This window comes from Homo sapiens, chromosome 1 (assembly GCF_000001405.40).
Source record: "Homo sapiens chromosome 1, GRCh38.p14 Primary Assembly".
NCBI classification, from domain to species: domain Eukaryota; kingdom Metazoa; phylum Chordata; class Mammalia; order Primates; family Hominidae; genus Homo; species Homo sapiens.
In genome coordinates, this window is record NC_000001.11 from 241,232,367 (window position 1) to 241,250,317 (window position 17,951).

Below are 17,951 nucleotides of genomic sequence, written 5' to 3' on the forward strand. Positions count from 1 at the left end.
TAAATACATATATTTTTTTTTGGAGAGAAGGGATCTCATTTTATTGCCCAGGCTGGTCTCAAACTCCTGGCTTCAAGCAATCCTCCTGTCTCAGCCTCACAAAGTGTTGGGATTACTGGTGTGAGCCACTGCACTGGGCTTATATGTCTATTAAGCCAAAACCACATTGCCTGATAAATGTAGGCTGGTCATAAATTTTGAAATGAGTGGTGTAAATCCGCTAACTTTCTTCTTTTTCAAAGTTGCTTGGCTGTTCTAGGTCATTTCCATTTCCATATATATTTTAGGAGCAGTTTGTCAATTTCTGGAAAAAAAAAAAAAGGCCTGGGGGGAGCTTAGATAGGGATTGGGTTGAATCTGCAGATCCACTGCAGAACGACAGTCTTAACTACATAGAATCTTCCTATCTGTGAACACGTAATGTCTCTCCATTTCTGTAGATCTTTAATTTTTCACATCCATGTTTGTAGTTTTCAGTGTGTACTTCTTGCACTTCTTTTCTTACATTTATTCCTAAGTGCTTTGTACTTTTTGATGCTATTTTTATTGTTATATTGTCCATTGCTAGCATACAGGATTAAATTATTGTAGTTTTGTAGGTCATTGGCTTATATAAAAAAAATCTTATAATCTTTTTACAGGAATCATATGGTGACATGAAAAGGGTTCCATAATATAGTCCCCACCTGCTACTCCAGCATCACTCCCCAGCACCCGTAAGTCAGAATGTATGTTTCCCTAGCACTGAACTTCTAAAAATTGATACATGTTAGATGTCCATGTGATAATTTCATACATTTACATAATCAAATCAAGGTAACTTGGATATCCGTCACCTTAATTATTTATCATTTCTTTATGCTAGGGACATTCAAATTATTATCTTCTAGTTATTTTGAAATGTCCAATCAGCTAATATTAACTCTAGTAAATTTACTGATCTACGGAACACCAGGTGTTATGTCTTCTTTCAAGCTGTGTATCTGTACCCATTAATCAACTTCTCTTCCCTCCTCCACACTGCCATTCGCAGCCTCTGGTAGCCACCACACTACTCTCTATCTTCATGAGATCCACTCGCTAGCTCTCACAGTCTCACATATGACTGAAATCATGGGATATTTGTCTTTCTGTGCCTGACTCACTTCCCTTAACATAATGACCTCTAGTTCTATCCAAGTTGCTGCAAAGGACAGGATTTCATGCTTTTTTTATGGTTGGGTAATATTCCATTGTGTACATCTACCACATTTTTCTTATCCTTTCACCCATTGATGAACACTTAGATTGACTCCACATTTTGGCTATTGTGAGCACTGCTGCAAAGTACATGTGAGTGAGGATATCGCTTCAATATACTGATGTCATTTCTTTTGGATATATACTTAGTAGTGGGATTGCTGGATCATACGGTAGTTCTATTTTTTAGTTTAGTTTTTTTTTTTTTTTTTAAGGAAACTCCATACTGTTTTCCACAGTGGCTGTACTAATTTACATTCCTACTAGCAACGTATGAGGGTTCCCCTTTCTCCACATCCTCACCACCATCTGTCATTCCCTATCTTTTTATTTTAACTGGGATAAGATTATATCTCACTTTGGCTTTGATTTGCATTTCTTTAATCGTGAGCACTGAACTTTCGACAGTACCCTGCAACCTTATGATGTTTTTACTTAAATTTAATTTCAACCTCAAGTCTCAGTTTATGCATTACCTCATCCTAGAAGCCTTTCCCGTTTTCTCTCTACTTGCGCTACGCTGCATACACTGGGGAACGCATGTGTGCATGGACACTGTCATTTCTATACCAAATTTTAAACTATACTAAATTTTAACTAACTACTTACATGTTCATCTTGAGAAACCTGTGTCACCATGTATAGCAAAACCTGCCAGTTGTTTATCGATATCCATCTTCTCTTTCCAAAACAATAGAACCCCTAATTTTTTGCTAGGCATAAAGCAAAAGAAATAAAGACCATATTTCTGGCCCCGCTTGCCATTAAATGCAGTGGTACGATTATCTTGCATCCAGTGAGAGAAGCTCATCGGGCAGCTCCCAGAAACCTTCCCTCAAAAACAGCCAATGCATATCTTGTTTTTCTTTTTCTTTTTTTCTTTTTTTTTTTCTCCTTCTTGCCAGTTAAACCAGATCTGCTAAATGAGGCTAGACCAGCCACCCTGAGTGGATGAAGTGAAGTGACTGTGGGAACAGAGACCCACATGGGGCAAAGCAACAATAGGAGGGGAGCCTGGGTCTCCATATCCCACCCTGGTCTGCCTACTTCTGGGCTTTCCATGAGAAAGACACACAATTCTCCCTGCTTTAGGCTGTTATTTCCTTGGGTCTCTCTTAACTGTTGCCAGACTTAGTCGAAAGAGGTTTATACCACATCCTATTGCATCTTCAGTACCTGGTGCTGTGCCAAACACATAGTAGTTACTTAATTAATGTTTGCTAATTTACTGCAAAAGGATAGCAAAAGTTAAAAAAAAAAAGGAAAAAAAGCTTTATGGAATATTACCTTCAAATCCATCCTGCTCCACATGGTTACCAAATCTCTTTCCAGGATAATAAAATCTTAACATTTTAGGCATACAATTTGGCCTTCAAAGGCCTCTCAGCTTTTTAAATCTAATTTCTATTCTAATTTATTCATCATGATGTTAATAAGATGTTTGGTTTTTCATGTAGAAGGAAAAGCAAATTTATACAATGATTCCATGGATAGTCAAGAGACAGAAGGCCTGTAATTGACTATAATAATAGATCTCACAAAATCATAAAACTGATAGTAACAATGGGGTTCAAGCAATTAAACAATTTTGATTCCACAGATGAAAAAGCTGATGTTCAGAGAGGTGACACAACTAATTCCAGGCCACACAAACATTGAATGGCAGATCTGATGTCAGAACCCAGATAATCTAACTTCCAACTTGGTACTCTCAGAATCAGTTAGAGTGCCTTTGGTTGTCAAGAGCAGACTAACTAACATAAGCAAAAATCCTTTTAAAATCTTAGAATTTACAGGATCCAAAGCCTGGAACAGGCAGGAACCAGGCAGCTCTGTTCCTGCCTGGTTTCCATGGCAACATCAGCTACAGAGCTCATACTGATTTAGCTGACGGAATGAATGAATAAACTCCAACAACGGTTATTGTTCTGTTTTTCATTCTGATTGTAGAATGCTTCTTTTTCTTTTCTTTTCTTTCTCTTTCTTTCTTCCTTTATTTTTCTTTCTTCCTTTCCCTTTTCTCTCTTTTTTCTTTTTTCTCATTCTCTCTTTCTTTCTCTTTCTCTCTCTCTTTCTTTCTCTCTCTCTTTCTCTCTTTCCTTCTCTCTCTCCCTTCCTTTCCTTTCCTTCTCTTTCTCTCTCTCTCTCTCTCTTCACTCCTTTCCACCATTATTTTTGCTTACTGAATCTGCTTCCCAGAACAGTGGCTGATGAGAAGCCTAGGCACCAATTTTCTCATTCCCATTTCCCTCAACCTAATATAGGGAGTGAGATACAAGGGTGAACCCCTAGGAGATGCACTTTGAGAGAGAGAGAGAGAGAGAGAGAAAGACAGACAGAGACAGAGGAGAGGAGAGAGTAAGAGTTAGCTCTCTGGCTTTCCTGGCTTCCTCTCATTTTCTGTTTTTATATGCATTTTATTTGTTCACATGTTTTTAAAGTCTGCAGTTTGAGACCATGAGATGACAAGGAGAGAACTGAAAGCCAAACTTTTGAGAATACTTAAGAGAAAGTTACCAAGTGCCTGAGTCTTCTATGATATCACTGAGCAAATGACGACCTCCGCCCCCCATATTTTAGAAACAAATAACTGAATGCATGAATACCGTAAAGGAAGATGAGTACATACATGTAAGCACTTAGAGAAATGAGAAACCACCTTGTATTTTTATCTGGAAACTAATAAAAAGCAAAATGCATCCAGGAATATTATACGACATGCAATTTCGCAATTCAAGGTTTTTCTCTTTCAGTGTGTAGAGTTAGCCATAAAGCAAATTGACAGATACTGAATGACCTAGTTAAATCTTCCACGGATGCTAATATCTCCTGTTAACACCCTGCAGCTTGACCCTAAGGACTTCCGCGCACCCATCACATGTATAGTATGGTGTTTATTTCTTGATTTTATATTTTTAATATATAAACACATTGGTTATGGACAGGAAAGACCTTCTGTCTTATTAAATGACTCACATGATTTGCCTCGAAACCACAAGCTAAGTCAAACTTGTGCTAAGCATGGTTTAATCTGACAGAATATAAAGATTCTAGGACAAATCAAACCCAAGTGAAAGTTTCCAGTTTTATTGCCACACCCAAGTTCGATAAAGAAGCAATATGAGCTTGAATTAAACTTGCAGCCGAGAAAGGTTACAACTTGAATATAGTATTGAGCAGAAAGAAAACTTTCCATGGATCAAGGACTCAACATAATTCTAGGATCTATAAAAAAAATATCCATCTGATCTTCAATGTGTGTACATTCTAGGAGTAAAACCTATGCTTTGTTAATATTACAAAGTAAAGCAATCTTCTTTCTTCCCAACAGCATTGCTTTGCCCATTTTAGTCTGTTATGTAGCATTATCCATGAAGAGCACGACAAGGGAAATGTACAGCGAGCCCTTGTTAATGGTCTTCGGAGAAAATGGTTTAATTGCACAGACAAATGCTGAGTCAAAGGTGATTGTGCAAGCCAGAGAAGGAAGAAAAGAAAATATTTTTTAAAATTAGCCAATAATCCATTTATAAGGACAACAAACAATAGAAGCTTAATGACTTTTTGCCATATTACTAAAACATGTAAGAATTACACGTGACTTCTGGAACACAAAATTCTTAATCCCAGGTCAGAATAGTTAATTCAAAACTAATTTGTTTTCAGGGAACATATCTGAGAAATAATAAAATGTAGGGTCTCAGCTCACATCCACCCTTGCTCAGATGAATGATCATAAAAATGGTCCTAGGCAAGGCCACAGGGTCTGGCTGGCTGAGGACTTTGTGCACTGGACCATATACCATGAGCAGTGAGTTATTTCAAACTCCAGCTATGGGGCCAGAAACTCCTTAGGAGTCCGCACCAGAATGTCTAGAGGAGCACGTATATTAACAAGCATATTTTACACTTAAAAAAAAAATTAACCACAGAAACTGAGATTCCACCAGACTTCCTTGATAGGAAGATAAATTGTAAAAGTTTTACTGAAGGACTTAATTTTTAAAATTAAGCCATTTAATTTAAAAAAATAAGACTTTTAAAACAATGTTGAGAAACACACCCTTCACCAGAAGAAGAAAGGGGCGTGGCCAGGGAAGCAGAGCAGTTCCGCCTGTACCTGGTTTATGCAGTGCACTTCTGAATATTGCCTTCGAGGAAAGGTTAGGACAGGATAAAGCCTCCAGACACCACCGTTCGAGTATAATTTGAGCCAGGAAAGCTGTCAGTGCAGCTTTTTACTGTGTTGTAGAATCCTTTGGGAAAGAAATCTTTTCTTGGGTTCCTCTGAGAATTCCGACTGAGGCAAAACCAGATTTATCAGGGATTTTGCAGATATCCTGAAACAAACCGTCTCTCAGCGTGAGTCTAAAACTCCATCCGCCAAGACCGTCGCTGGGACTAAGCCCTGAAGCTGAGTGATCACTTGCTTCCTCTGCTCCTCTCTCGTAAGAATTCCTTCCCTCAAAGGCCTCACAGGCTAGATAGGGAGGCAGACACACCAGAGAAACAACAGTGAAGCATGCAAAGTGCTGTGAGGAAGTGTTGTGCAGGTATTGTAGAAGCTCAGATTGGGAGTGCCTAGGGCTGACCGACCCAGACAGTCTTTTATACTGGGCATGTGTGTGTGTACATGCATATAGAAATTTGGGGAGGAGAAGAAAAAGAAATAAAAGGAAGTAATAGTGGCTGCAACTTCTGCCTACAGATACTATGACCTTGTATAGATAATGCTTTTGTGACTATGACTTGGCCTTGCTTGCAACCCACCATCTGAGTCCTGCTAACCGAGGACCAACTATTTAGGAACAAGCTACACTGTGCCACCAAAACAGACATCAACAACACCTTTATTACATACACAATTGCCCCAAGAATTTTTATATATACTATTTTCCTTTGCAGCAACTTTACTCACCCTCTCTCTCTTTTTTCTTTTAAAATTTTTAGAGGAGTTTCACTCTGTCACCCAGGGCTGGAGTGCAGTGGTACAATTATAGCTCACCGTAGCCTCGAACTCCTGGGGTCAAGTGATCCTCCTGCCTCGGCCTCCTGAGTGGCTAGGATTACACATGTGTGTCACCAGGCCCGGCTACTAAGCTACTAACCCTCTCTTAAATACAAGCTACTAAATCTATTGAATGATCCGGGAAGAAACAATATGAAAAATAAAAAGATAATTAAGAATTTCACAAAGCAAATATATGTATAATGTCTAGAAGAATCAAAGATGGAAAGATAATATGGTAATATGACACTAAAGAGCCTGATGAACTTTTTGATTTGTTATAAAACATTTAAAAATTTTCCTTCAATATTTAATTGGCCAATGAGTCTCCAAATAGCTATTGCCTCTCTCTCTTTTTTTTTTTTTTTTTTTTGAGATACAGTCTCGCTCTGTTGCCCAGGCTGGAGTGCCCTGGTGCGATCTCGGCTCACTGCAACCTCCGCCTCCCGGGTTCAAGCTATTCTCCTGCCTCAGCCTTCTGAGCAGCTGGGACTACAGGTGTGTGCCACCACGCCCGGCTAATTTTGTGTATTTTTAGTAGAGACGGGTTTCATCATGTTAGCCAGGATGTTCTCGATCTCCGGACCTCGTGACCTGCCTCCCACGGCCTCACAAAGTGCTGGGATTACAGGTGTGAGCCACCGCGCCCGGCCATCCCTCTCTCTAACTCTTAATCCACATTGCCATGCATTGGTTCCCTGCTATTAACCTCTTTGGTTCTAATCTAGATGATGGCATCTGCTGGTCAGTGTCCTGGTCCAATGTGGATCCCATCCAGCATGCTCTCCACCTTACATGCAGAGCAGTCTTTGTAAATCACAAATCTCATCATGTCCCCCCTTCACTCAAATGCTTAGATACAGCCTTTCAGGATAAAGTCCAAACTTTTTAGCCGTCTATAATCTGACTCTTTTCTTGTTACTTGCTCAATTTGGGACATGTACTCTGGACAAATGAACTGTGTCATACCCCAAGCACGCCATGGTCTTGTGTGCCTTCATCTTTTTTACTCTCCACTCCTTACCAGGGATGAACTGCCTCCCATTCTCAGTCTAGATCCGTGGTTCTCAAGGTTCTCAAGGGAACAGTGGCGACAGCAGCAAACGGGACATGTCAGAAATGCAAATGATCAGGCTTCATCTCAGATCTCCTGAGTCAGAAATTCTGGAGAATGGACCAGCAATCTGCAAATAAGGACTATAGAAGATCTTATACCACAGAAAAGCTAGGCAGCGTGCAGAGAACTAGAGGGCCATCGATGACTTCTTTGCCTGCAGTTCAGCAAATACACAGCAGAAGTGAAGACCACTAGGTCACTTGGTCAAGCTATTCATAAAACAGAAGTGGCTCAAGGAGAATAAATGGATTATACGCAGGGACCCCTGTAGCTTGAGGAGTCAGATAGACATTATAGAAACAGAGACTGTCAGTGTCCCAGGGGTCCAGGAGGTCAAATAGTCCAGTCTCATCATGTCACAGAGGATAAACAGGAGTCCTGGAAAGGTGAAATGACTTACTCAGTGTGAGACAGATGGCCAAGAGAACACTGAAACCAAAGTGTTTTAGAAGGAAAAAGCTGCATGGTAAAAACAGCTGAGTCATCTGATGGACACTGACACAGGCAAGTCCCTCGGTGGGCACCCAGGCAGAATGAGAAGCATGACATGTTTGTTCTTAATAACTCAGTGGGCTGATCCTGCAGTCTAGGCACCCTGCTGACGGGAAGAAGCAACGACTCAGTTAGACTCACGTGGATCTGTCCAGCACTGGACGTCAGCAGTAGATAGGTTTGATGGAGCTGGAAAGTTTATCCTTTAAAAATGGCCACAAATATTACACTTATAAATATGTATGTGTGTGGGTGTAGAAACATTACTTGTAAAAAATGAAACCTGTTAGATTAGATCAAACTAGGTTGCCGCTTCTAAGGTAGTGAACGTGTAAAAGAGTAAACCTCATAGAAACATGAGGCTGCCCAATGCATGTGTACATGTTGGTGTTGTGTGCATATACTTCATCATATACATATAGTTAGAAATTGTATGTATAATTAAAAATATAATCATTCAATCATAACATTAAACAGTGAAATTATTACATCATAATGTTAATCATAACATGGAGCAATTAAACTACAGTGTTTTATGACATATAGTTTTAAATTATAACATTAAAAATATAGGTAAACGGCTAGGATCGGGGAGCAAATATTAAAGTAAATAAATCCCTGCCCTACTCCCTGAGCCCTTTCTGCTCATATTTTGCACTCTTCTGAGGACTGATGTTGGCCTCCCAGGCTTCAGGACAACCTGACATCAAGATGCCTTTAGGTTCTTTCTGACAGCTGCTGCTGCTTCTTCATCACAGAGAGTTCATTTGCTCTCCTCGGCAGGCCAGAGCTAATTAAGAAGAGAACAGCCCAGGTTCACCCTCCCAACCCTCCTCATCGGCTAGAACTGCCTGTTTGCTGCCCTCCAGGTCTTCTGCAGTGAGACCCCCTGCTTTTCTCCAGAGAGTGAGGAAACCACCACTAGAGGGGTGGGGTCTCAACACAGACATATTTACCCAACAGGAGCAGAATGTTTCCATTTGACAATTCCACTACAAGAAGCAGGCCTTCTTGGACCTCTTGCCCAACTTCTGGCCTTCTGATTCTAAGTAGAAGTTGTCATTTTTCTATGACTACTATTAGGTTGGTGCAAATGTAATTGTGGTTTTTGCAATGAAAAGTAATGACAAAAACCACAATTACTTTTGCACCAACTAGTGCTAGCAATGCCTTAAAAAATAAATTGGGCTCAAGATTTCTTGGGGCATAAATTGTTTTGTGCTGTTTTCCGTTTCATCTCCATGTTCCACGGGCTTAAACACCACAGAGCAAAGGCAGCACGTGTCTGTGGAGCTGCCCCCTTTCCAAGGAAGCTGCTTTGACCTTCACCTTCTGCCTCCTGGTAGTGTGTGATGATCACATGGAATAGTAACCAGAGCTGTGTCACACTTCACAAAACACCTTGGGGATTTTGTGACCTCAAAGTATTCTCTTCACCTGGCAGGTGGCATGAGCCATGGGAGATCCCGACACTCCCAACTTTGCTACCAATGACTCAGATAGAGGGACACATGTATACATGTGTCTGTGCACATTAATGGACCAGCACTGGCCATGTTTCTATGAGGCCTTTTCTTTTACATGATTACCATTTAAGAAGCAGCAGGTGAATCTAACCTATTTTGTTTTCTTACAAGTAATACTGTGTTCGCTTTTTGAAATTTCTTTTCTGAACTTTAGTAAAACCATTTGCTACTCTTTCACTCTCTTTTTGTGTTTTTTTTTTTAATTTTTAATTTTGATTTTCATAGGTTTTGGGAAACAGGTGGTATTTGGTTACATGAGTAAGTTCTTTAGTGGTGATTCATGACATTTTGGTGCACCCATCACCCAAGCAGTATACACTGAACCCAATTTGTAGTCTTTTATCCCCTACTGCCCCCCACCCTTTCCCCTGAGTCCCCAAAGTCCACTGTATCATTCTTAGGCCTTTGCGTCCTTATAGCTTAGCTCCCACTTATAAGTAAGAACACACAATGTTCGGCTTTCCATCCCTCAGTTACTTTATTTAGAATATGGTCTCCAATACCATCCAGGTTGCTGCTGCTGCAAATGCCATTATTCCGTTCCTTTCTATGGATGAGTAGATAGATAGATAGATAGATAGATAGATAGATAGATAGATAGATACAATTTCTTTATCCACTTGTTGATTGATAGGCATTTGGGTTGGTTCCACATTTTTTGCAGTTGTGAACTGTGCTGCTATAAACATGTGTGTACAAGTATCTTTCTCGTATAATGACTTCTTTTCCTCTGGGTAGATAAGCAGTAGTAGGATTGCTGGATTCAATGGTAGTTCTACTTTTAGTTCTTTAAGGAATCTCCACACTGTTTTCCATAGTGGTTGTACTGGTTTACATTCCCACCAGTAGTGTAGAAGGTTTCCCTTTTTACCACATCCCTGCCAACATCTATTATTTTTTGATTTTCTGATTATGGCCATTCTTGCAGAAGGAGTAAGGTGGTATCACACGGTGGCTCTGATTTGTATTTCCCTGATCATTAGTGATGTTGAGGATTTTTTTCATATGTTTCTTGGCCATTTTCACATCTTCTTTTGAGAATTGTCTATTCATGTCCTTAGTTCACTTTTTGATGAGATTGTTTGTTTTTTCTTCCTGATTTTTGGAGTTCCTTGTACATTCTGGATATTAGTCCTTTGTCAGATGTATAGATTATGAAGATTTTCTCCCACTCTGTGGGTTGTCTGTTTATACTGCTGATTATTTCTTCTGCTGGGCAGATTTTTTTAGTTTAATTAAGTCCCATCTATTTATCTCTGTTTTTATTGCATTTGCTTTTGTTTTTGTGTGTGTCTTTTGTTTTTCTCCTCTCCCACTCTTATCCCCAACCCAACTTTGATTTCTCTCTTTATTCTCTAGAACGTGAATTAACCAGCAGCCTGCATTTCACATTTAACTGAAGAAGCAGAATTGATGAGTGTCACCTGAACTATCTTGAACATTTCATGTCACATTGCATGTCAGATATTTAATCTTGACACCTCCTCTCCGTCCAGAGCCAAAAAGTCACCAGGAATGAAGAATTCTTTCTTCATCATATAGAATTTTGTAGGCCATGGAAAGCAATCTAGACATTATTCTAAGTGCTATAGAAAACTGTGTTTGAGTTTTGAGCAGGAAAGTGATATGATTTGAATTCTACTTAAAAACTCAGGCTGGGAAATAGAAGAATGAAAGCAAAGAGACCAGTAAGAGGATTTATTGCAAGAATGAAAGGATCACATGACTATGGGGGAGAGAAATGGATGAATTTGGGATATATTTTGTGTGCAGCCAACAAGACAAAAATTAATGCTTGCAAGGAGGGGAAAAGAGGCATGAAGGGAAAGAGATGGATCAAAGAAGATTCATAGGCTTTTACTTGAGCAACTAAATCCTTGCAGCTGCCCTTTAACAAAATAGGGTACAGAGGGATAAAGGAAATTTGGAGAGAGAAGGAATAAAAAGTTCTATTTTGGCCACATTATGTTTCAGATACCTACTAAACACACAAATAGAAACGAAGGAAAGTGGTCACCTTATTTTAATGGGAAGGCAGCAACCTGAAAACCTAGTCATCCTGGAGCATCCAGCAGAGAAAATTTCTATTGCAAGAAGTAAACACTTGATTTTGCCTTCCAGACAGATCATTTCATTATTCAAAGAACATTTTTTTTCAGAAGGACCATGAGATATGCAAATATATAGCAGAGATTTTTCAGGGTACACAGGTGTTAGAAGCTAAAAGTAGTGGAGCAAGGTGACAAAAAAGAGATCCTTTCTAGCGGGCAGTGAAATGCCTATATATTATTTTCTTTAGAGCAAGATTCCCTTTCCAAGTATGAACTTAAACTGACCTATCCAGGTACATATTATTATTTTCTTAGAAAATGTGTGTGTGTGTGTACACAGCAAAAGAAACTACCATCAGAGTGAACAGGCAACCTACAGAATGGGAGAAAATTTTTGCAATCTACTCATCTGACAAAGGGCTAATATCCAGAATCTACAATGAACTCAAACAAATTTACAAGAAAAAAACAAACAACCCCACCAAAAAGTGGGCAAAGGATATGAACAGGCACTTCTCAAAAGAAGACATTTATGCAGCCAAAAGACACATGAAAAAATGCTCATCACCACTGGCCATCAGAGAAATGCAAATCAAAACCACAGTGAGATATCATCTCACCAGTTAGAATGGCGATCATTAAAAAGTCAGGAAACAACAGGTGCTGGAGAGGATGTGGAGAAATAGGAACACTTTTACACTATTGGTGGGACTGTAAACTAGTTCAACCATTGTGGAAGTCAGTGTGGCGATTCCTCAAGGATCTAGAACTAGAAATACCATTTGACCCAGAAATCCCATTACTGGGTATATACGCAAAGGATTATAAATCATGCTGCTCTAAAGACACACGCACACATATGTTTATTGTGGCACTATTCACAATAGCAAAGACTTGGAACCAAGCCAAATGTCCAACAATGATAGACTGGATTAAGAAAATGTGGCACATATACACCATGGAATACTATGCAGCCATAAAAAATGATGAGTTCATGTCCTTTGTAGGGACATGGATGAAGCTGGAAACCATTATTCTCAGCAAACTATCGCAAGGACAAAAAAACCAAGCACCGCATGTTCTCACTCATAGGTGGGAATTGAACAATGAGAACATATGGACACAGGAAGGGGAACATCACACACCAGGGCCTGTTGTAGGTTGGGGGGAGGGGGGAGGGATAGCATTAGGAGATATACCTAATGTTAAATGACGAGTTAATGGGTGCAGCACACCAGCATGGCACATGTATACATATGTAACTAACCTGCACGTTGTGCACATGTACCCTAAAACTTAAATAATAATAAAAAAGAAAGAAAGTTGGACTTAAGAACTGTAAAAATGCAAGGTGATATAATTTGGATTTGTGTCCCCACCCAAATCTCACATCAAATTATAATCCCCAGTATTGGAGGAGGGGCCTGGTGGGAGGTGATTGGATCATGAGGATGCTTTCTTATGGTTTCGCACTATCCCCCTAGTGCTGTCTTATGACAGAGTTCTCAAGAGATCTGCTTGTTTAAAAGTGTATAGCACCTCCCCACACCCCCCTCCTCTTGCTCCTGCCGTGTAAGTGTGCTCACTTCCCCTTCGCCTTCCACCATGATTGTAAGTTTTGGTGATGCCTCCCCAGAAGCAGAAGCTTGCACAGCCTGCAGAACCATATGCCAATTAAACCTCTTTTCCTTATAAAAAAAAAAAAAAAGAAAACGTGTGTGTGTTCAGGCCTGGCACAGTGGCTCACGCCTATAATCCCAGCACTTTGGGAGGTCGAGGTGGGCAGATCATGAGGTCAGGAGTTCAAGACCAGCCTGACCAACATGGTGAAACCCCATCTCGACTAAAAATACAAAAATTAGCCAGGCGTAGTGGCAAGTGCCTGTAATCCTAGCTACTCGGGAGGCTGAGGCAGGAGAATTACTTGAATCTGGGAGGCAGAGGTTGCGGTAAGCTGAGATGGTGCCACTGCACTCCAGCCTGGGCAACACAGCGAGACTCCACCTCAAAAAACAAACAAACAGGCAGGACGCGGTGGCTCATGCCTGTAATCCCAGCACTTTGGGAGGCCGAGGTGGGTGGATCATGAGGTCAGGAGATCAAGACCATCCTGGCTAACATGGTGAAACCCCGTCTCTACTAAAAACACAAAAAATTAGCCAGGCGTGGTGGCGGGCGCCTGTAGTCCCAGCTACTCGGAAGGCTGAGGCAGGAGAATGGCGTGAACCTGGGAGGTGGAGCTTGCAATGAGCTGAGACCACGCCACTGCCCTCCAGCCTGGGGGACAGAGCGAGACTCTGTCTCAAAAATAAATAAATAAAAAACCGAAACGTGTGTGTGTCTGTGATGATGGGGTGTGGATGAAGACTGGGCAAGCTATCTCAAAGGCAATCAGAAATTGACATTCCCCCCAAAATCCAAAAATAGCAGGAAAGGTATGTAGGCCACAGAGTCTGCTTGAGGGTGAGATATAATTATAGAAGGGAAGGAAACCTGGACTGATAAATCTATCTGTCTTTTTCCACTTGTCATATATATACCAATGCTTCACTACTAAGGTAGTGAACCGTGATAGAGCATGGTTGTGAAATTGAAATCCTGGGACCAGACCATGTCCCTGCGGGTAGAAGGTAAAATTCCTTCCAAAGGAAGTAGATATTTTTACTGTCTGTGTTCCAATGGAGAGATCCATTCCAGTACTAATACGAAGTTTAAGAAGGCATGTGTTAAACTAGAAAAAACTGAAGATGAAAAGAACACAGCTTCCTCCTAAGAGACTTAGAGGAAGCATGGCTCTGGATTTCGATTGAGTACTATCTACCTGTGAGTAGTCCTTCGGGGGTAGGCAAAGTGGATTCTGCAATAAGGCATTAGGCCAGAAGCTAAGGGTCTGGGTATGTTGGCTTTAATAGTTACCATATCTAGTTGCTATTATAAATTGTCCTCTTTGTTGTTTTTTTTTCTATTATTGAACACACTGTAAATCTTGTAGAATTAGAGGCCCATGCTTGGATGAAACATCATGGGGGAGAGCAGTAGCAGTCCAAAGGGAGCCATTTCAGGAAGTAGGGGATACATGAACGTCAGCTGTGGCCCTTGCGCAGAACTGAGAGTGCTGGCTAGCTGAGGAACACAGCAGCAAGGGAAGGAATTAGTTTAACAGTTACCATCTCCTAGAAACTCCCAGAAATACACAGAAAGAAAATTTTGCAAAAGACTAAAATTACTGCATTCAAGCAGGAGGGAGGCTGGGACCATTGTACATATGTTCTTTAAAAGGGAATATGTTCTCATTTTATCTAAAAATGAGACACACCTGGCACATTTGTCTGTCTCCTTCTGTAGGCTATAAGCTCTTTCAAAACAAGGACCTATCATGTCAGAAAGACTTAATAATTATTTACAAACGAAAGAATAAGGGTATCCTTGAATCAAGCCTTTAATTTGAATAACTCGATTGGTTTTACAGTAGCACCAAGTTCTACTTCCTCATTTACACATTGTGAATTACAATGCTATTATTATTTGGAAGTAATGGCTTTTAAATGAGCCTGGAGTTGAAATCGTAGGAAGAAAGTAGTTCTGTGTATGTAAATTATTTGGTTGATGAAGGGGGCCTGCCGCTCCACACCTGTGGGTATTTCTTGCAAGGTGGAGACGAGAGACTGAGGGGAGTCTGATCTCTCTTTCCCCCACAGGTTGAAAGAGATGGTTGCATGCTGTTGTTCTTTACCAATAATGCCAGGGATAACTAGCCACGGAGGGTCAAAGGGTAGTAAGGCTTTGTAACAACTTTCTTAATGCAATGCAATCATACAGGTGGTATGCATGGCCACCAAGGAGATGCAGATTGGATTTAACTAGAATAACCTGGGGACTAACCAAGGTTCCTTTTCTCAACTAAAAAAAAAAATAGGTATAGTGATGCTAAATCTCTAAATACTCTTAGAAAGATTAAGAAAATAATTATAAGATATATGTCCTCATGATGGAATTAAAAATGAATGTATTAATGTCTTGTATTGGTAGATTTGTTTTATGACCCAGCATGTAGGCTTTCCTGATAAATGCTTCACGTACACATAAAATGAGTATGTAATCTGCAGTAATTGGATGATGTAAATAACTCTCTATATGGTCAAGCTGATGGATAGTGTTTCTTGAGTTTTCTGTATCTTCACTAATGGTCCATCACTTGTTCTGTAAATTACTGAGAGAAGAATGTTAAAATGTCCAAATATCTTTGTGAAGGTATATCTTTCTCCCTTTCTGTCACTTTTTGCTTCATGGATACTGAAGGTATGTTATTAGGTGCATAAACATTTAGGATTGCGAATCATTATGATTTTACCCTTTTTATGTCTAATAAGACTTCTTGTCTTGAAGCCTATTTTGATATTTATACAACCATGTGCACCTTCTTGTGGTTAGTGTTTGCAATGATGTGTATTTTTCCATGAATTTACTTTCAATTTTTTAATTGCTGTGCATCTTTATATTTAAATTATATATGTGCAGAATCCTATGGCTGGGTCCTGTTGTAGATATATATACATATATATATATACGTATATATATGTATATATACATACATACATATGTATATATATATACATATATATATAATCAAATAATCTCTGCCTTTTGGAAAAATATATTTTGGTCGTTTACATTTAATGTAAGTATTGATATGACTGTGGTTCAGTCTCCCATCTTGCTGGCTTTTTTAATATTTGGCATCTCTGATCTTCGTTACTTTGTCCCTTATCTCTTCCTCATTTCCTGTGTTCTTTTGTGTGAAGCAGTATTTTTTTTAAAATTTCTTCTATCTCCTCCACTGCATTTTAAGCTACATCTCTTTGTATTTTTAAATTCATTCCTAGAGTGAACATATGCATCCTTAAAGTGTCACAATCTACTTTGAGCACCAATACTAAATGTTAGGGATTCAAACACGAGCAAGGCATATCCCTCCTTTTCGGATGAGTGGAGAAGGCAGACATGTAAGTAATAAATACAGCAAAACCTCTCACTATTCAGAGGACCTTTAACATGGCCACAAGGCTCAAGCTTATCATTCGACGAACTTGCTACCAGTATTTCTTGGTTGTACAGATTATTTTTTCCTCTTCGCTCACTGGATTTCATATTTGTCTGAAAACATTTCGCCCTGTTTTTAACTAAATTGTGTTGTCATTTGTATAGTCTATATACAAGTGCTTTGTTGGATATGTATTTTGAAAAGATTTTCTCCCAATCTATATCTTGTCTTTTCATCCTCTTCACAGGGTCTTCCACAGAGCAAAAGTTTCTAATTTTCGTGAGGTATAACTTATTGATTTTTTTTGGTTTATAGATTGTGCTTTTCATGTTGCATGCAGGAAAACTTTGTGAAACCTAAGGACTCTAAGATTTTCTTCTATAGTTTTATAGTTTCAGGTTTCGATTTTCACTATATGATTCACTTTGAGTCAATTTTTGTATGTGGTTTATGGTAAAGGTCAAGATTTTTTTTTTTTTGGCATTTGACTATACCTAATTTATCCTTTCCCCATTGAATTGTCCTAGCATTTTGTCAAAAGTCATTGCTCATATATGTCATCTATTTCTAGACTACTGTTCCCTTGAAATATTGGTCTATTTTTATGCCAATACTACACTGTTTTGCTTACTTTACAATAAGTCCTGAAATCAGTAGTATAAATTCCTTAACTTTGACGTCTGTTTTCAAAATTATTTTGGCAATTCCAGACCTTTTTCATTTCCATATAAATTTTATAATCAATTTGTCAGGTTCTACGAAAAAGCCTGCTGAGATTTCAATTGAGATTGCAATGAATCTATAGATCTTTTGGGGGAGCACTGACATACTAATCATATCACCTCTTCTGAACATATGCATTCATTATGATCTAGCAATCTCTTTCTAAGTATGTCTTAGAAACTCTTGGACAAGTGAACAAGGAAATATACACAAGGATGCTTCTAGTACTGCTGCTTGTAACAGAAAGACACCAGAACATTTTCCTTATCACTTGAGAAGATAGAAAAATGGTGGCATATTTATACAGAAAAAAATTTTGGAATTTCATGTGGCAGTTAACAATGAATTGACTCATAAACATAACAGTTACATTTTAAAAAAGGAATATATATAGTATTATCCTATCAATATTACATTAAGAAATATGTAAAACCAATCACATGTTGTTTGAGAAAGCAAATATATGTGTTAAGACTATACAGAAGAATTAGGAAATTATAAATACAAAGTTCATAATAAAATTCATAATGAGCTTTTTACAGGATGGGGAAAGCAATAACCTTGGGAGGGCCACAAAGTTGTATTTCTTAATCTTGATGGTGAGTACACAGAATGTTATCAAAGTGTTATTCTATACAGCATATATGTATTTTAGTATATCCTTTTCTATTTAATATTTAATATCTAAATCATTTTTAAAAGGAAAGACAGAGAATTTTATCGAGGGGGAGGAATCAGAGTAAACTTAAATCTT

At 39.1% G+C, this 17,951-nt stretch overlaps 1 protein-coding gene across 20 annotated transcripts in view; it reads right to left on the minus strand.

Annotated features, from left to right (window-relative positions):
• RGS7 (regulator of G protein signaling 7) overlaps positions 1-17,951 on the minus strand; it is a 582,489-nt gene that overhangs the window by 457,625 nt on the left and 106,913 nt on the right. The gene's annotated exons all lie outside the window — the stretch shown is intronic.